The following is an 18,908-nucleotide window of genomic DNA, read 5'->3' on the forward strand; positions in this document are numbered from 1 at the left end:
GGAAGTCATGGGTAATTAAAGAGGGGCCTCTAAACTCCAGACCCTTCCTCCTCAACTCCCCATGGAAACTGTCTCCCCTGAACAGTGCTTTGTAGAATCCTAGTGAACTTAAAGACTCACTACTCTTATGAGTGGTCTTTATCTTTCTCTGAGTGGGTTCTAAGTAAAACACCAGGTTGGTGGAAATGGAAAGGAAGGACGGCTGGCTCAAATTCTGGAGATACTATATGAAAAGGAATAATGAGACACTCACTGTCCTGTGGGGTAAGCAGGAAGGAAAGCCTAGCTTCCCATTCCACAGCCTCCAATTCCATTCATTTCCAGCCACTGCTTTGTACAGCTCCAGCACACTCCTCTCCTGGTCTGTAGTTCAAGATTCCACTAGTTTCATCTCCAGGTGCCAAAGACACTCTGCTTGGTGCCTAAGACACCAAAGTGAAAACAACAGCCATGGAAAACACTTCCAGTTAAGTTGAGGGAGACCGAGATTTCACTATGTATAGCAGGGAGACTTGCATTCCTGTTAGCTCAAACAGATTCTGAAGGCATTTCTCCAGAGATGCCTTGCTTAGGTGAATGGGGAGTGTAATAACCCAGGTATTGTATTTTAATATTATAATAGTCTACTCTTATGCTAGGGTGACATACATCCTGGCTTGTACTGGATGTATGTCACCATCCTGGCATAATTGTTGTTAGTAAATTGCTTCCCCTTTTATTCCCCAGAAGTTTGGATGGTAAATTATATGGTCACTATACACATAACAAAAATGGACTTCTCAGTCCATGGGAATTGTGTAACAAAAGCCCCAAATGTAAACATATGTCATTAAGTAAAGTTAAAATGATAGTGATGGTGTTTAAAAATATCGTAAATGCAAATGTTTATTAAATGTTCTAAAAATCAAAACAAAAAACCTCTTTTGTCAGGGATTCTTGTTACTATGATATAATTCCTACAGGATGCTTAATAGCACTGCCCACACAATGGATGTGAAATAACCACCTAATATTTTAAAATATTAAGTCAAAATATAATGGTATAAAATCTTTATAATAGAATACTTAAACGTTTCAATTAGGAATTTCAGCTTAATAAAATTACATGTTTAAATTTGTCGTATTCCCAGCTCTTTTAAATTAAAGAACCAATCATGGGCCTTCATTTTGAACATTGTTTTAAAATCATGTTAAATGTAGAAAACAAATAATGATTAAAAACAGAGATATTGGTTTTAGGAGATAAGTGTTTCACATTTATTATTTACCTTTTTTAAAAGACAGATTATGTAAATTATTCTTCAAATTTAAATGTATAGGTATAAAATTGAATAAATAAAACAAGTTTTAGTAAGAAAACTATTTTCAGACTTAATACTAACCAACTATTGCTAATATACTATAAAATGCTACTTAGGCAGGTTATAGACTCCAATTATTATAGTTAATGGCCTCAGTGGCCTCACCTTGCCTTAATCTAGGACATAAAGCATGCAGAACTCGTAATTTAATTATCACCTGTTAATATTGGCTCTAAATTCATGTCTCCCCTTTCGGGATGAAACTGCAGTGATGAGCCAATTAAAAATCATTATCTTCCTACTGAAAACACCAGCCTGCTAACTACACCACAGTATACAAATCTGCTGAGACTTTCAAGAAGAAACTTACTGCCTCTTACCTTTAGGGAGTGCTGAATTAAATTATTTTCGGCCATTTATAATTCTAATATTTTGTTTTAATTATTTATTTTTTTGAGATAGGGCCTGTGTTGCCCATGCTAGTCTCAAACTCCTGATCTCATGCAATCCTTCTGTCTCAGGCTCCCAAGTAACTGGGATTACAGGTGCTCACAAATCTAATTTTTCACATCTCTAGATTATATGAAGATTGTATTTTTTAATTATTACATACCTTAAAAGCCATGAGAGAAGTGGAGAGTTATGTTATTCTATAGTAATAAATGGCAGAAATGAAATCTGTGCTTTTATTCGTATTTACATATCATGAGATATAAAAAAAAAATCAGAGAATGTGGTGCTATAAAAGGGTTGTTAGCTTATAAAATCCCATTGATATGTACTAGAGAAATGTGCAGTTGATTTACAGGAATTTATTAGAAACTTTGCTCTTTGTGTACTCTCCTGACATTGTGTACTCTTGTACTGAAATCTAATTTTATAATTGACCCATGGGAATCAAACTCTGGAAAATTGATTTGTGCTAACCAAACTCACAAGAGATTGATTTATAAACTAGTAAATCACTTTTTAACTTACTATGAGAATGCTACCTGATCCAAAAACCTGAAAAATTTATGGTGTGTTTTTGAGTTTTCGCTACTCTCAGTTCAGGCACTATAGTGAATAAAGAGGTGAAAAACACTTAGTCCTCATCCTCAATGAATTTATAATCTGGCGAGAAGACTTGGACAGCAATACATAGAGTACAAGTCAGACTACAATAAATGAGTGAGTGATATGTTGTGGTTAAATGTTTAGTAGAGGTTTTTTGTTTCTGCTAGGCATACTCTTGTAGTTGGGAAACCAAATTATACTTCAGTGGATATGTTTTAAGAGATATTTCTTTCAAGCCATTATTGGATAATAAATTAACTTTCCCTTTTCTCTGCATGTTTCTATATAAAGAATCAGGACCAACAGCCCATAATTAGGACACCTTTGCTCTTGAATATGCTCTAGACACTACAAAATTTTTTAAACCCTTAACAAGTGCAGATACATGAAAAGTTCACTCTTGTTGCAGTTATTACACCAGAATCTTTCCTTCTGTACTGTAGATTAATTCTAAAGTTAGTGCATAAGGCAAAAATTAAATTATATGTAGCCAAAGTGCTCTAAAAATTTCATAAATGGCTTATAGAATACATACTGGTTTTGTAAAACTGCTCAGTAATATACAAGTATAATGTTTGGTAAATCATGATATATAATAAAGCATACATAATCCAAACAATTTTAAAGTATTCTAATTGCAGTATTTTAAAGGAGTTGTTTATACAAAGGAATCTTAATAAATTAAATGTATGTGCCATGTATATCCTCTGTCATCATACTCAAGTTTGTAGTTTTCTTCCATTGAGTAGATTTCAGGTGGGCCACTATCTAACAGTATATATTGGGATACTTACCTGTTAAAATACAAGATAGATTGTGTTGCTTTTGAGGAGCTTTTCTATAGCCAGCCTGTTTTAGACTTTTTGCGTGGATTTGTTTTGTGTGGTAGAAGTAAGGAGATGATCAAGGTATGATTTCATGAATCACATAGTTTATTGCCATACAAAGAGAATTTTTTCCTTAGGTTCCTAGTGCGTAAAGAAGGGGAGAATAACGTGAACAGATCTCACAGGGAGTATACTTGATAGGTAAGATACGTGAACCACAAAGTGAGTAAGTTCCAAAATTATTAAAGGCGTTGCCCAATTAGGATGGAAGCCGTCTTCTGTGGAAAATAGTCTAATTAAAGATTGAGGTGTACCTTTTTACAACCTTTGTACCATAGAGGTCAAGCCTATAGAGAAACTGGCTTGACCAATACAGTGGAGATCTGTTACCACAGGTAAGGTCCCTCAAGGCTGAGGGTGGTGCCAGTAGTGGCAGGCAAGGCTTCAGAGATTAGCTGGAATGATGTTGCCCTGTGGCAATGTCACAGCATGTCCTCTTGGTCTTTGGAGAACATGTAGCTTGCCACAGTCTGAACTCTCAAAGTGTCTGTCAAACTCTTAGTTTTATATGTATTTTGAAGTCCAGTAGTTGAGGTCAGCAACTCACATATGAGTTCTGATAAGGTGTGATGTGACATTCGCAAGGGGAGGGGTACCACTGTCACATTCTCTAGGGGATGAGGGAGAAAACACTCCAGCTTCTTCTTATAGCAGAACATAAATCATTCACATAGCAAACTATGTAAGTGTTTGGAATCATTTCACAGCAACATAACAGGATTCTTACTAGTCTCAGGCATCCTTCCTAGATTTGGATGTTAGTCATACTTTTCTCTAATTACTATATTCACCCAAACATACATGCAGCTGACTGGCATTGGGTCCGTGTTCTGTTTCTGACCATGGATAGCTTACCAACCTACAAGGAAATCAAGCCCCTGACTTGGCTGTTATTTGCACTGTACTCCATCAGCTGAGCCTCAGAACTCATCTACCTGAAAAAGTGATAAAATTGTCTCATTTAGCAAGCACACTGAAGCAAGACTAGCTGTGTTCAGCCTGCATCTAAAAGTGTGTTACTCTGTGACTTGGCTCACTGTAATAGTAATTTTGAGGTAATTATTAATGATAGTGTTTATGGTACTAACTGGTGCCTGATCATTTTCACAATAAGGTTGGTATTATTTCCATTTTTAGGAGATCAAAGTTTGCAGGATTTGCAAAAGCCTTGATTTGAAAGCCAGTGGCAGAGCCAGGCCAGAATGATGGTTTTCCCCATCTAAAGTCAGTCAGTGGTCTGCTTATCTATGAGATCATGGCCATTATACCAAATATTGGGAGGACCTGGTGAAAGATGCTTTTAGGATCTGGCATCGAAAATGTAGAGCTCATGCTCTGGAATCCAAGAGTTGTAAGAATTTCCCTGTTCTCCTTAAGGGCTGGGTGACTTTCAGCAAGTTACTTTAAACTTTTCAAGCCTCAGTTTATCCCCCTTAGGGATTTTCTGATAGTTAAATGAAATAATAGGTAAAGTGCTTAGCACAGAACCTGATATATGATAAGAGCTTAGTAAATATTATTTGTTTTTTAATCTTGATATTTAGAATTTCAAGTTTTCAACAGCTTTTATGTACATCTCTTATGTACATGTGTATTGCCAAATGAAAGCCTGTTTTTCTTCCTAAAAATGACTAGATATTATATAACTCTATAGGTAATGTTCTTATGAGGGCACACATAATCACCACCACTCACAATACCTAGTTTTGGAATCTTAATTATTCCTTCCATAATATTTTCTTAATCTGCTATAATGTGAGATATATGACTACAGCTGAGAGATATTAAAAGCAGAACAGGAAACCACAGAAGTTTCTTAAAATAAAAATACAAACTGAGCTCAGAAACATGATTTTTATATACATATCTGAAAAAGAAATGTAGCCAGTGAGCAGAATATACTCAAAGCCAACCACAAATAAGCAGTAAAAAAAAAAAAAAAAAAAAAAAATACTGCAGTTTATTTTAAAATTGTACACATCTTGCTTTCATTAGAGTATATAGGAATTTCATTATAAAATACATTTTTAAAAATTTAAAGGTACATATGTGCTTTGACTGAATAATTCTGTGATGTTGATTATACTCTAAAGTATACATGTGAAGCTAGAGTTGAATATGAGGTGCTGCCTTGTTCTTCCAGACTGTAATAGCGTGTATGCTATGTGGCCAAACCCTGTCCTCTGCAGAGACCAGCAAGTCAAACCCATGTTTCTCAGAGCTTGGTTACATGAGCTCTTGGTAGCACATGTACCTATATGTAAAATATTTATAGATAGCTCTCAATTTTTAAAAAGTAATGTACAGTAAATTTTATGATCACCTTCTAATTGCAAGTGAATTGGCTTCTGTTTTTGAATTGACAGCTTCCCTTTGAAATTCATTTACTTATGCTTTTTTAAAAAGTGTGTTGATTTTAAAAATCAGCATGAAAACTAGTATGAGGATAGGGAGAAAGTACAAATGTTACACTCAGCTGACTGAAGTTTTGGGGACTCTGAACTAAACAGAACTGTATAGTTGATATTTTAACTTAAAATATTACCTGTTTGGCCTACCTAATTTTTACTTGAGAGAAAAATAACATTAATACCTATTTTCTTTGTCAAATCTCTATAACACCCTTTAATTACTACATTTTTAGTAGCAGTGATTTGCTGACATTTGTGCAACCCCTATGTTGTGATCCATATACTTCTCAGTGACTGAAGTATTTTCTTTAAAATTAGTCCTGCTATATGTTTATGTAAATCTTTGGGAGAGGGATTTCTTTTCAAAATGCTGTTTGACTGTCTTGTGAGATTGAATGTCTGTGATCAAAGTACTGAAAAATTTAAAATACATAATTATGAAGTAGCTCCTCACATCTGAAGAAATGTTCCACAGAGATTCCACCATGTTTCTTCAAGATTATGTATTTATTTATTTTTTTATTTTATTTTTTTTTATTATACTTTAAGTTTTAGGGTACATGTGCACATTGTGCAGGTTAGTTACATATGTATACATGTGCCATGCTGGTGCGCTGCACCCACTAACTCGTCATCTAGCATTAGGTATATCCCCCGATGCTATCCCTCCCCCCTCCCCCGACCCCACAACAGTCCCCAGAGTATGATATTCCCCTTCCTGTGTCCATGTGATCTCATTGTTCAATTCCCACCTATGAGTGAGAATATGCGGTGTTTGGTTTTTTGTTCTTGCGATAGTTTACTGAGAATGATGATTTCCAGTTTCATCCATGTCCCTACAAAGGACATGAACTCATCATTTTTTATGGCTGCATAGTATTCCATGGTGTATATGTGCCACATTTTCTTAATCCAGTCTATCATTGTTGGACATTTGGGTTGGTTCCAAGATTATGTATTTATTGAGTTCTAATTTTCTCTCGGACATGGTACTAAGACATGGTGTGATGGGAGAGAGAGATGTTAGAAAGACACCTCTCTGAGGAGGTGACCTTTACGTTGAAATTCTGAAGAAAGTAGGGCAGGTAAGCTCTAAGTAGAAGGAAAATATGCAAAGACCTAGGGCAGAAAGGAGTTTGGTCCGTTAGACAAACTCAGAGTAATCCTGTGCAGTGGGAGCTTAGTGAATGAAGGGAAGAGAAGTGAGAGATAAGTTTGGAAAAGTGAGAAGGAATCAGTGGGGCAGTCTTTCTCCCAGATACTGTCACTTTATCATAAATTAACTTAGTGAAACTACACTAGAGCTAAAACTGTTACTTTACCTTGAATATAAAGGGAGAAAATGCTAAGAACATTTGATTACTGTAAAAAAAAAAAAAAAAAACCCTGAAATTGCGAACTTCTCTATTGGAAATTTAAAAAAAATCATTTTGTTGAAATTGCTATACTCTTGTGGTAGTGACTAACCATCACTACCATCCCATTTCTTCTTTATTAAAAAAAAAATTATTTTTCTAGAGACAGGGTCTTGCTCTGTCACTCAGGCAGGAGGGCAGTGGTGCAGTCCTAGCTCACTGCAGCCTGGAGCTCTAGGGCTCAAGCGATTTTTCTGAGCAGCTAGGACTACAGGCACATGCCGTGACTACAGGCGTGTGCCGCTATGCCCAGCTGATTTTTAAATTTTTTGTAGAGACTAGGTTTTGCTATGTTGCTCAGGCTGGTCTTGAACTCTTTGCCTCAAGTGATCCTCCCGCCTCCACCTGCCAGTGCTGGGATTATAGACGTGAGCCACCGGTGCCCAGCCTCACTTTCTTCTTTAGCAGGCCTCCCTGCCCTATACCTTCTGCTCATATTTAATGCATAGGCCCTACAGTCAGATGAAATCTTCCTGGGAATTGATTTCCCTGACCTTAATTTTCTATAGTCCTGTTTTTACCTTTCGTGTTCTGTGCCCAGCTCTGTTGGAATGCTTATGCACCTACTATCAGTGACTTTGATCTGGCTGGAGGGGTTCTAAGTCCATATGCTCCCCCTTGATTTAGAATTGGATTCTCTAGTACTCTGTATTTCAGGTACAGTGTAGGTTAAGTGATTTTTTTTTGAGCTGCCATGAGATTTAAGCACTTTATGTAAAACAATTTAATTAGGTAAGTGAATTCCAAGCTCTAAGCACTAAGGTAGGTAGACCAAGTTTTGAAACATAACTAGTTTATAATTTGGGAACCGTTTGAGTTAAACTGTATTTTCATCTTCAGTAGTCTTGTTCTGTGCCTCATTGTTAGGGTCCACAGTATTGCCATTGATAGTGTTGTTAATGAATAGAATCTTCATGCCTCCTGTTCTCCTGACTGGAAAGGGCACTTTATTTAATTCTTCTTTTCTAATGAAGACTTTTAGATAATCTTCTTATAAATCTGCCTTTTGATATTTTTTGTTTTTATTTTCCCACAGTATACACAATCTGAAGATCATATTTTCATCTGTCTTGTATAGGCTTAGAATAAAGTTAAGGTATAGATTAGCTCTGGATTCAAATCAGATGGTCAGGTAAGATCTCTTTCTGGGAAACTGTGGTAAGAATGTGTAGAAAAATATTCCTGGCAACAAAGTTAGAAAAACTATCCAAAATTCCAATAAATCTATAATTTTCACTGTCCATGGAGAAGAAAAAAATGTCATTTGATCATATGGCATTAGTTTATGAAGTGTCTCAGAAGAAGGTAAGTTATGGGTATTTTTTCAAGTATGTATAGGATTTAATTTGTTTAGGAAAAAGCACTCTAAGGTAATGGGTGTGTGTTAGTCATTCTGTAAGAGCTCCGCATTATTACTCTGCTGGACCTGTCTGCCAGTACCCCGGCTAGCTGAAATTCAGGCACATGGAGCATCACTTATCCCCCTGAATTATGTTAATATTAGGAAGGGACAAATTACTTAATAAAAGATACTGTATAACATTTTATGAATATCATTTAGAAGTAACTGCTGATAACTTTTTCTGTCAATGAGAATTACTGTTCTTTATAATTGTGAGTCTCAAATTTTATCTATGTTGACTTAGATGAAAATAAAGGAGTTTTCTTGTTTGGGCATGGTGTTGATTATGTTAACAATATATTGTTAGATGCTGTTTCCCAGTGTTTGAGGCTGCTTTGCCCCGGAGAGTGGAGAAGGATGTAGACTGAGAAGGTGGGAGGCGGAATGGCTGCTTACTGTGGGGTCTCACAAAATTCTGTTAGTTGGTCTTCATGATCTAAAGATTCTTCTCCATTCCCCCGCTACTTTCCCATCCAGGGGATTATTCTCGCAACCCACTTTTTAAAACAGTTGTTTCAATTTGAGAAGTTGTTAATTTTACTTATGATTGTCAGTTTATGATTATTTTATTAGGTATATTTTATGAAATATCAACAAACTAAGGTGATTTACACTACTCTTCATAATTACGAATACTTTAATTTTTTTTTTTTTTTTTTTTTGAGACGAAGTCTCGCTCTGTAGCCCAGGCTGGAGTGCAGTGGCGCAATCTCGGCTCACCGCAGCCACCACCTATCGGGTTCAAGCGATTCTCCTGCCTCAGCCTCCAGAGTAGCTGGGATTACAGGTGTGTGCTACTGCACCTGGCTAATTTTTGTATTTTTAGTACAGAGGGGGTTTTACCATGTTGGCCAGGCTGGTCTTGAACTCCCAACCTCGGGTAATCCGCCCACCTCAGCCTCCGAAAGTGCTAGGATTATGGGGATAAGCCACCGTGCCCGGCCTTACTTTAAAATCTTAAACACTGGTTTTACTATATGAGCGTATTAATGGCATATTTGGGAGAGAAGTTGATATTCATATTTTAAAATAACTCCAAATTTTTATCTTGAGCGAAGTAGTATTCACTATACATAATTTATTATTTTACATTTTCTATTCCTAACCAAATTAGACATTTTAAAAAACTCTGAAAAATCACAGCTTTGCTTGTGGACTCCATTTTGTGTAGATAATTAAGATCCATGGTTTGAATACCATTTAGGCTTATCAATACAAGGAAATATTACTCCTTAAACAAATAACTGTTGTAAGATTGTGTCTTTTTCTGTAGTTTCTTAATACATTTAAAAACATGTGCAAAGGACCAGACATGAAGGGAATGACAGTTTTTAAAAATCAAATTGTGAAAAGGTTAGTTTTTTTTTTGTACCAAGGAGGTAAGAGTCAGGAGGAATAAACAGGTGTAAACTGTAAAGAGCATTGTAATGTACGTTAAGGAGCTTTAACTGAAGTCTAAGAAGAGTAGTTGAACACTTTTAATAAGAGTAACATTTTCCAGTTGAGTTTTAGGAAGTACTGGCAGAAATTGAATAATGAGTTTAAAGGAAGAAAAGTAAAAGTAGGAAGAACAGTTAGAATGTTACTGTATTAATGTGGGTGATAATTGATTGGATGTTGTTGTAGGGGTCAGGGACTCAGGGTTTTAACTTAGTCCATGTGTGGATAACACAGTTTTTTTTTTCTTTTTTGAAGTATATTGCAGTATAAATTCAGCTGTGGACATACTGGATTTAAGTTGTCTAAGACTGATGTAGAAATGTTCAGTGAGCAGTTGAACACATACATTAGCAAACCTTGAGGAAAATCTGGCTTGGGAATATAGATTTGGAATCTAGCAAATGATGATTAAATTTAGAGAAGTAGACGAAATCAACAACTATATAGAATGAAATAGAAGCCGATTGACTTTTAAGAGATGAGCATTTTATCCCCCTTTTTTTTTTTCTGTTTAACTGGTAAGCATTGCAGTGGCACTGCATACCTTTTTCAATGCAGATGTATATTATTTTAGGCATATTATGGATTAAATTGGCATCTGTCGGCCACTCTGTAAACCTAATTATTATTTATTTATTTGGAAAAGATACTGAGGTTTTTTTTGTTTTGTTTTGTTTTACAAGTGTTGGGGTGTAACTTGCTTGTAAATTTGGAGCCTGGCAATATCTGAAAATATATTTTCTTCTAGAGCCCTGCTTAGCTCAGTTTTTCCCTTTCTCTGAAGCTTGATGATATATACTTAATGCTGTAGAACTTTTAAACTAAGTTATTCTTTGTTATTGTACCAATATGATTTTTTTTTAGGCTGCTGAATAGGGAAATAGTATATCCATCAATGAAATGCATTATTTCTTTAAAAAAAAAAAAGGAAAAATTTCAGTTTCATGCCATATAAAACTATTAATAAATTAACCTCACAATTTATCTAAGCCCTTAACGTGCTCAAAGTGATGGTTTGTGTTTTGTTTTGTTTTGTATTTTTGGAGATTGCTCTGTGTCCTGGGCTGGGGTACAGTGATGCAACCATAGCTCACTGTAACCTTAAACTCCTGGGCTCAAGCAATCCTTCCACCTTAGCCACCAAAGTGGTTAGAACTACAGGCATGCACCACCACACCCAGCTAAGTTTTTTGTTTGTTTTTGGAGACAGGGTCTCACTGTGTCACCCAGACTGGAGTATAGTGTCACGAGCATGGCTCACTACAGCCTCGACCTCCTGGGCTCAACCAGTCCTCCTGCCTCAGCCTCCCGAGTAGCTGGGACTACAAGGCATGTTCTGCCACACCCAGCTAATTTTTGTATTTTCTGTAGAGTTGGGGTTTCTCCATGTTTCCCAGGCTGGTCTCCAACTCCTGGTCTCAAGCAGTCTTGCCACCCCAGCCTTCAAAAGTGCTGGGATTACAGGTGTGAGCCACTGCGCCTGACCTTGAAGTCTTACACTAAAAAAGGGAGCAACATTTCTACCCTGGAAAATTTGCTCTTTGGACATTTGATGTAATTTTTATTCTTATTTATTTATTTTTGAGATGGACTCTCACTCTGTCACCCAGGCTGGAGTGCAGTGGTGCGATCTTGGCTCACTGCAACCTCCACCTCTGGGGTTCAAGCAATTCTCTTGCTTCAGCCTCCCGAGTAGCTGGGACTACAGGCACATGCCAGCACGCCTGGCTAATTTTTGTATTTTTATTAGAGACGGGGTTTCACCATATTGGCCAGGCTGGTCTTGAACTCCTGACCTCGTGATCCGCCCACCTCGGCGTCCAAAAGTGCTGGGATTACAGGCGTGAGCCACCACACCTGGCCCCTGGATGTAATTTTTAAAACCAGACTCATTTCAAATTCTGTCTTAGTGTAATTTAGATTTTTGTGTCTTGACAATAATGAAAAATATTTCTTCTTTTTTTTTCTTTTTGAGATAGAGTCTCACTTTGTTGCCCAGTCTGATTGCGGTGGCATGATCTCAGCTCACTGCAACCTCCATCCCCCAGGTTCAAGTGATTCTCCTGCCTCAGCCTCCCAAGTAGCTGGGACCACGGGCGCACACTACCACACCTGGCCAATGAAAAATACTTCTAATGATGGTTGTTAACTGCTTTAAAGAAATAATTTAATACTTTTTATGATGTTTGTATTACATTGTCCTTTGATTTGAGTTGCAACTGTTATTTACACCTTCTTTCCCTGTTTGCAAGCGATTGTTTTAGGATCATGTTCTTTTCAGTGGTTTTGCTGTAAAGGAATCACTTCATTTCTGATTATTGCATTTACAAAAATGATTGTTTCTTGTCTTCCTTGAACTGTGTTTTATCATTTGATGCTGTGATTCACTGTGCTCCTAAAACATTTCCATCTGCCTGTTTTGTGATCTTTCTATTTTAGATCACCATGCCACAGCTGCTTGGATAGCCTTCTGTCACCTATTTTCAATAGTGTCATATAGCATCCCGCATGGTTTCAAGGATGGTAAATTGGCTAGACTCCAGGGCTTGCTCTGTAATCCTGCCTTGTCTGTTAATGTCAGGTGTATCTCACAGCTGATGCTGATGAAACTGCTTAAAGAAATCAGATATGATCTTTAGCAGAGCCAAATCTCATTTCCATATGTGGGTTTAAGTTCTGTTTTGATCAGCTTCTTGAGGGCAGAGTCCTCAAAGTCCTACATCATGGAATGCAAGATTGTGTGGTAGAGACAAAAGTCGTAGTAATTTAGAAAAACCATCAGCTTCTTGTACTGGCTTCTCACAGATTGTTGCACTTGAGCACATTACATCTGTATGCTGGATGAATAGGAAGTTTTTCAATAAAGGAGGACATTCCAAAAATAGGTAACAGCTTAGCCTGATACATAAGTGGTAGCTGCTATTATTGTCATCATTTTGTTTTTATTATTATGATTGTGAGAACTGGATAAATTGGGAAGGAAAGTAAAACAAACTAAATTTTTTCAACTTATTTGATGCAAAGCTAGTTCTAAAATCGAATAGAATTACAAACATTTATTAGTGTGGATCATGTCTGAATGCTCAGGCTATTTATCTCTTTAACACTATTTCATATAAGTAGTTGTCTTTAATAATTGTAGAATGTCTTAGCCTGTTTGGAATGCCGTAACAAAATACCATAAACTGGGTGGCTTATAAACAACAGAAATTTCTTTCTCATTTTTCTGGAGGCTGGGAAGTCCAAGATTGAGGCACTGGCAGATTTGGTGTCTAGTGAGGGTCCCCTTCCTTGTTTATAGAACAGCACCCTCTCCGTGGCTCCTCACAGGGTGGAAGGGGCAACCAAGCTGCCTCAAGCTTCTTTTCTAAGGGATCCTGACCTCATTACCTCCCAAAGGCCCCACCTCCGAATGCAATCAGGTTGGGGGTTAAGATCTCAACATATGAATTTAGCGGGGACACGAACATTCGGACCATAGCAGAAAGTATCCGTAAAGGAATAAGAATGATTACAGGTAGTTCGGTTCTTAAAAGGCGTGAGTTTATTCTGTAGATGAATAATAAAACTGTTTGTCTAATTGGTATTACCAAACCAGAACAATTCAGCTATTATATTTATTTTCATGGATTTATTTAAATGTATAATGAGTTTTTAATATGAGACAAGCATATTGAAGTGAATTTTTACATATTAAGAGCCATCGTCACATTATTGTTTGACAGATACTGCTTTTGAAAGTAAGCTAATCAGTTCATTTTTGTCAAGTATTTTATATACTCAGAGTAGGGAGTAGAATTTTGAATTTGAAGTAGAATGACTGTTTTCCTCTGTCAATACATATGGCTTATATTTTAGATTTGCTGGCCATTCAGTTTTCATACATTGTGACCTGTTGTCAGAACCCATATCTTCATACTTGGATCAGAAAATACAATTCCTGTTAATAGTGGTCCCTGCTGCCTGACCTTCTGATCAGTTACAGTTTACCCAAGTTGCTGAATTAGAAAGCATTTTAAAGTACCTGCTATTTGAAAAGTACCTATAAAGGATTATGAAAAAGAACTCTATTTGAGGCTAATATCTACAAAGACTTTCTGATTTCAGGGTAGGAGTAGAGTTCAAAATGAAGCAAAGTTTAAGACGCACATATGCAGATGCTATTAGCAGTACTTGTTTCTGGGAAGACTAAATGTAGTATTCCTATTCCTGATGGTTTAAATAGACTGGTTATAGATTTCTGTGGTTACAGGGCAGACGTTGTAATAGAGGCTATGAGATTTTCTTCACATAAAGCACTAAGTACTATTTCTTTCTTTGTATTTATTCTTTAGTTCTTTTCAAAAGGTGAATTGGATTAGATTTTGCTTCTATCTCAGGTAAATCCCCTACTTTCAACCTCTGCAAATTTGCTACTCTTTTATTGTGTCTGTAAAAACCAACCTTGCATGAATTGTGTCCCTTAAGTGCTATGATTGTGATTCCCTTTTTTATCTATAGGACACAGTTTTCTCATGTTTGTCTTTTCTTGTCATGGCCTTTTTTAAGTGAAATGACATATCAGAAAAGATCATGATGAGGCCCCAAAATAGTCTGGCAATTTTGTATAAAATTAGTCCCTGTTATCAATGGCTCATGTTTCTCTCTTTCTTTACCATCTTTAATTATTTGTGTGTGTGTTTTTGCTGTTAGGTATTGTTTTAAGCACTCAACCGTTGAAGTGTAGGTATGAAGTGCCTGACAGGCCATTGAAAATAAACGAAGATAAATTACAGTTGTAGCAGAGGTTTCAGTCCTTGTTATTCTTGATATGATACCCTCATTGTCTCTGGCGAATTCCTGTAGACCTTTAAAGTGGCTTGTCAAATTGCTTAACAGAATTAGACTTTTTCTCTAATGCTGCTAGTGGGGTCACATCTAGAATTGTCTTTCAATGTGATCTAAAAATAACATACTGCAAAATTACAGAAGAGACATTTGGATGAAAACAACCAAATGACTGAGAGGAATAGCCATTAAAGAGGACAAAAAAATTCCTGAAAAACTGAAACTTAGTTTCAAGCAAATGGAATTGGGCCTTATGCTGCTTTTTCCAAAACACCTGATAATTCTCAGCTACCTAAGAAAAATTACCAAACCTTTTTCAAAGAAATTAAGGTCTGTGCTGCAATACTGTTCTTTGCAGTATTGGCTCATAATCACATTAGGGAGTAAATATTCTAAGACTATTAGTAAATAAGGACTGCTTAAGCAATATTTGCCTGCTTCTATAATTATATTGTAATTACATTTTATCATAGACAGTGAAATATGTAGCACCTTTTGCAGGTGGAATTCTCACTGCTGGTTTGCCTTAAAATATTGGCATTTGGGGATATTCTCTCTGCTAATTAATATTGTTTGTTCTCTTACATCTCTGTTCATAATGAGACAGCTCTCTGTTAGACATAGAGAAGTTATCTCACTTGAGAACCTTATGATATCTATTTACAAGTGCATTTTTGTGGAAATATAATTTTAAAGAATGTCCGAGAGGTTTTAAAGCTTTTATTAGCACCTTAAAATATATGTAGCATTTTTTCATTTTATTGCAAAGCTACATGTTAATACTCTAATGCTAATGAAATATTTCAGATTATTTTATGCATTAGAAAACAATTTCTTTGACATCAGCTTCCATTCCATTTATTTAAATAGTATTTTTTAAAAAAAATATTTGGTCTTTGTTTTATTAAAAACATAATTCAGGCCAGGCACAGTGGCTCACGCCTGTAATCCCAGTACTTTAGGAGGCCAAGGCAGGCGGATCATGAGGTCAGGAGTTCAAGACCAGCCTGACCAACATGGTGAAACCCCGTCTCTACTAAAAATACAAAAATTAGCTGGGTGGGGCACATGCCTGTAATCCCAGCTACTCAGGAGACTGAGGCAGGAGAATCACTTGAACCTGGGAGGTGGAGGTTGCAGTGAGCCAAGATCGTGCCACTGCACTCCAGCCTGGGCGACAGAGCAAGACTCCATTTCCAAAAAAAAAAAAAAAAGAAAAAGAAAAAGAAAAAAACATAATTCAGCAAAAGAAGCAATACACAAGAGGTAAACAATGACTTGCCTACCCTGGTCCCACAGGGGCAGTGGCAGGACTGATATGAAGACGCTTACCTCCTCTGCCATCCCTACAATAATCTATGTTTTTTTGTCATAAATAAAAAGAGTATCACTTACTAGGGAGCAGATGAGATCACAGCCTCAAGCAATCCTGCGGAGCACCACCTGGCAGAGGCTGGCTTCCTGTATTTGCTCAAGCAAGCTCTGTGAGTTGTGCTTCCTTATTGTCATGGATCTCTTTTCATGGTGCATCCCCATTCCTACATTTAATCACACACATCTCAGTCAGAGCTCTAGGGCTTTATTACGAATGGAGTTGACTGCTAGAGAGGCCCCTCCAAACTTTTTTCTGTACCGTCTTCCCTCCCAAGACATCTCTCCGGGGAGGACATTAGGGAAAAGGAAATCTGGAGAGAGTGAAAGGTGCAGTGCTTTCTCCAAAGTTCTCCGAAGCAACCACTGAGTCTTTGAAAATCTTCTGATGGAAGAGGTAAGAACTTTAGCTCTCATCTTCAAGTTCCTTCATGTCTACATCCTGGGGGGCTTTTGTCTTATTTTGCCCTTTGAGCTGTGGTTCACTAGTCGTGGCTGGCTTTGAGGGGGATTTCACTTCCATCGCTGCCTTCTCTTTCTGGGCAAGTCAGATCCACTAGAGGGGTTTTCTGTGCTTCTTCCCCGATAGAGTAATGTTGGTAGGTGCACTGGATACCCACTTCTTGAGGTGATGTGGCAAAATCAACCCTTGGTCTGTCACAGTCCTGACCACCCAGTGCCTCAGTTGCAGTTCCCAGTTCAACACCTGCAGGTGCCTGAACAGCTGCTTCTTCGATTCCAGCTGGAGAAAAAGATGCAAATCAAATGGAGGCAGTTCATTGCAACCTGGAACTGCTGCACCAGGCAACCCCAGTTCCTCATTGATCTCATCTCAGGCAAGACAAGAGGGCTCCTAGATGCTTGAGGAAACAAAGTTGTGGTCCCCACTCAGCCACCATTCTGGGCTGGTTGATCTTTCTTCCAGGAGCCTGAACTAGTATTGATGTGGATAAGAGGAAGGGAAATACTGGGTAGAAGTGGGCAGTTCCCCAGCAAAGGCCCCACCCCTAAGCCTGGAAACCGAGGCCCTGAATGAGAACAGTTATCCCTGTTTTCCCTCCCAAATGTTACATTTTTGGTCTGCCCTGCCTCCCTCCCCACTTATCCTGTACCCATATTAACCCCAAACCTCAGCTGGTAGAGACGCAAAGCAGCTGAACATCAAGAGGAGTCGCAGCACTGATTGTCGGAGACTACAGATAGATGTGGCTTAAGTTGAGACAACATGGCTTCAGGGAAGGATCACCTTCTTCCTGCACCATCCCCTTTCCAGCTCCCCTTTTGCTGAGAGCCACTTCCACTGCTTAATAAAATCCTCTGCATTCATCACCTTTCAGACCTTCATGTGACCTGATCCTTCCTAGATGCTGAACACGAACCCAGGTACCAAGAGGGCAGAGTGTAAAAGGCTGTCTTCCTGACTCTCCACTGAGCTGGTTAACAGCTGTCTGCAGATGGCAGCTGCTAAAAGAGCATTAATTGTAACATACCCTTAGACAGTGCTGTGGGGCCAGAGCCCAAAAGCACTTCTGCACCTGCTTGCCTGTGTGCTCCCTCTCCCACAAGGGGTTTGAGCTCAGTGGTGGCCAGGTAAGCGAGCCATACCCCTGTTGCAAGTCCCACAAAGGGGTCAAGGGAACTCTCCCATCTTGTTATCTTGTTGTATATGAACATGACAAGAAACATCATTATATCTTTGCTTTTGGCGTTCATGCTTACCTATATGTAGACCACAATTGTAATCATTCAATTTGAATAAATAAGTAATAATGTAGATATACAAGTTTATATCTGTATATATAATAATGGTTATATAACAACTAATACTTCTTCAATGCTTATTGTTTGTTTATGAAATGCTATTTGTTTTACATACATTGGAAACATTTAATCCTTAAAATAATTCTATGTGGTTAGGTATATTATCACTATTTTGCAGATGATAAATCTGAATCCTTGGTTTCAGGATGGTTGTTTACTTACCCAAAGTCATACAGCCAGCCAGTAGCATTTTGTCACACTTCATAGTTGGAGTTCTTATCTACATTATAAGTTAATGATTAGGTAATTCCTAGAAGTCAGCCTAAGTTGCCAGTTATATTAACTGCTACTTAAACTATACATTTTTAAATCTCAGTTCTGTAATAATAGTAGGTTTGCAATAGACTTAGAATGTATATGCAAACCATAGTTCAGGAATGTGGCCACAGTATGCCTGTGTATTAGCACATTCACTTGTCATCAAAATTTTTGTTGGGCATCTACTATATGCTGGATACAGGCATGATGCAAACATTTAAAAATATGGCCACTGTCACAGGAGGCTTAAAATCTTGTTATGAACCCAGTTAATGAAGTGTTTGCACTATTATGCATTTGGATTTTTAGTTGACTCATTAAAATAAACTAAATAAATTAATAAATAAATTACATTCAGGTATTTCTTGCCATCTGATTTTCTTTTGTTTCCTAAGCTTATATACTGAGAGATACTGCATTAACCGCATATTTTTGGCTTCTGAAATTTGAAGAGCCAGTAGCAGTGAAAGCTTGAAGAGCCAGAGAAAACAGCCTCATCTCAGAGAGTTTATTCTTGAGTTTGGGTAGTGTGAGTTCAGTTAGGGAGAGTTTGGATTGTGAGGGATGTGTATATCATGTCTTAAAATAGTATATCAATAATAAATAGAACGAAAGGGTGATTTAAGACGTTATTACCCCTCCACCATTGTTCTATTATGTACCCATTGAATATAAAGATATTCCTCAGGAATATCTATTCCTCTCCAAAAATAATTGTC

General features: G+C 37.4%; 1 protein-coding gene and 1 pseudogene across 5 annotated transcripts in view, besides 1 other annotated feature; one reads left to right on the forward strand and one right to left on the reverse strand.

Annotated features, from left to right (window-relative positions):
• UBE2E2 (ubiquitin conjugating enzyme E2 E2) overlaps positions 1–18,908 on the forward strand; it is a 388,828-nt gene that overhangs the window by 169,968 nt on the left and 199,952 nt on the right. The window lies entirely within an intron of this gene.
• On the reverse strand, positions 16,596–16,844 carry C11orf98P3 (C11orf98 pseudogene 3; annotated as a pseudogene).
• Positions 16,618–16,717: an enhancer, noted in NCBI's record as "active region_19595". NCBI's record gives its function as "activates an Ori minimal core promoter by ATAC-STARR-seq in GM12878 lymphoblastoid cells {active_cell/tissue: GM12878}" and the evidence as "EXISTENCE:reporter gene assay evidence [ECO:0000049][PMID:35858748]".

Source organism: Homo sapiens, chromosome 3 (genome assembly GCF_000001405.40).
Source record: "Homo sapiens chromosome 3, GRCh38.p14 Primary Assembly".
Lineage (NCBI taxonomy): Eukaryota > Metazoa > Chordata > Mammalia > Primates > Hominidae > Homo > Homo sapiens.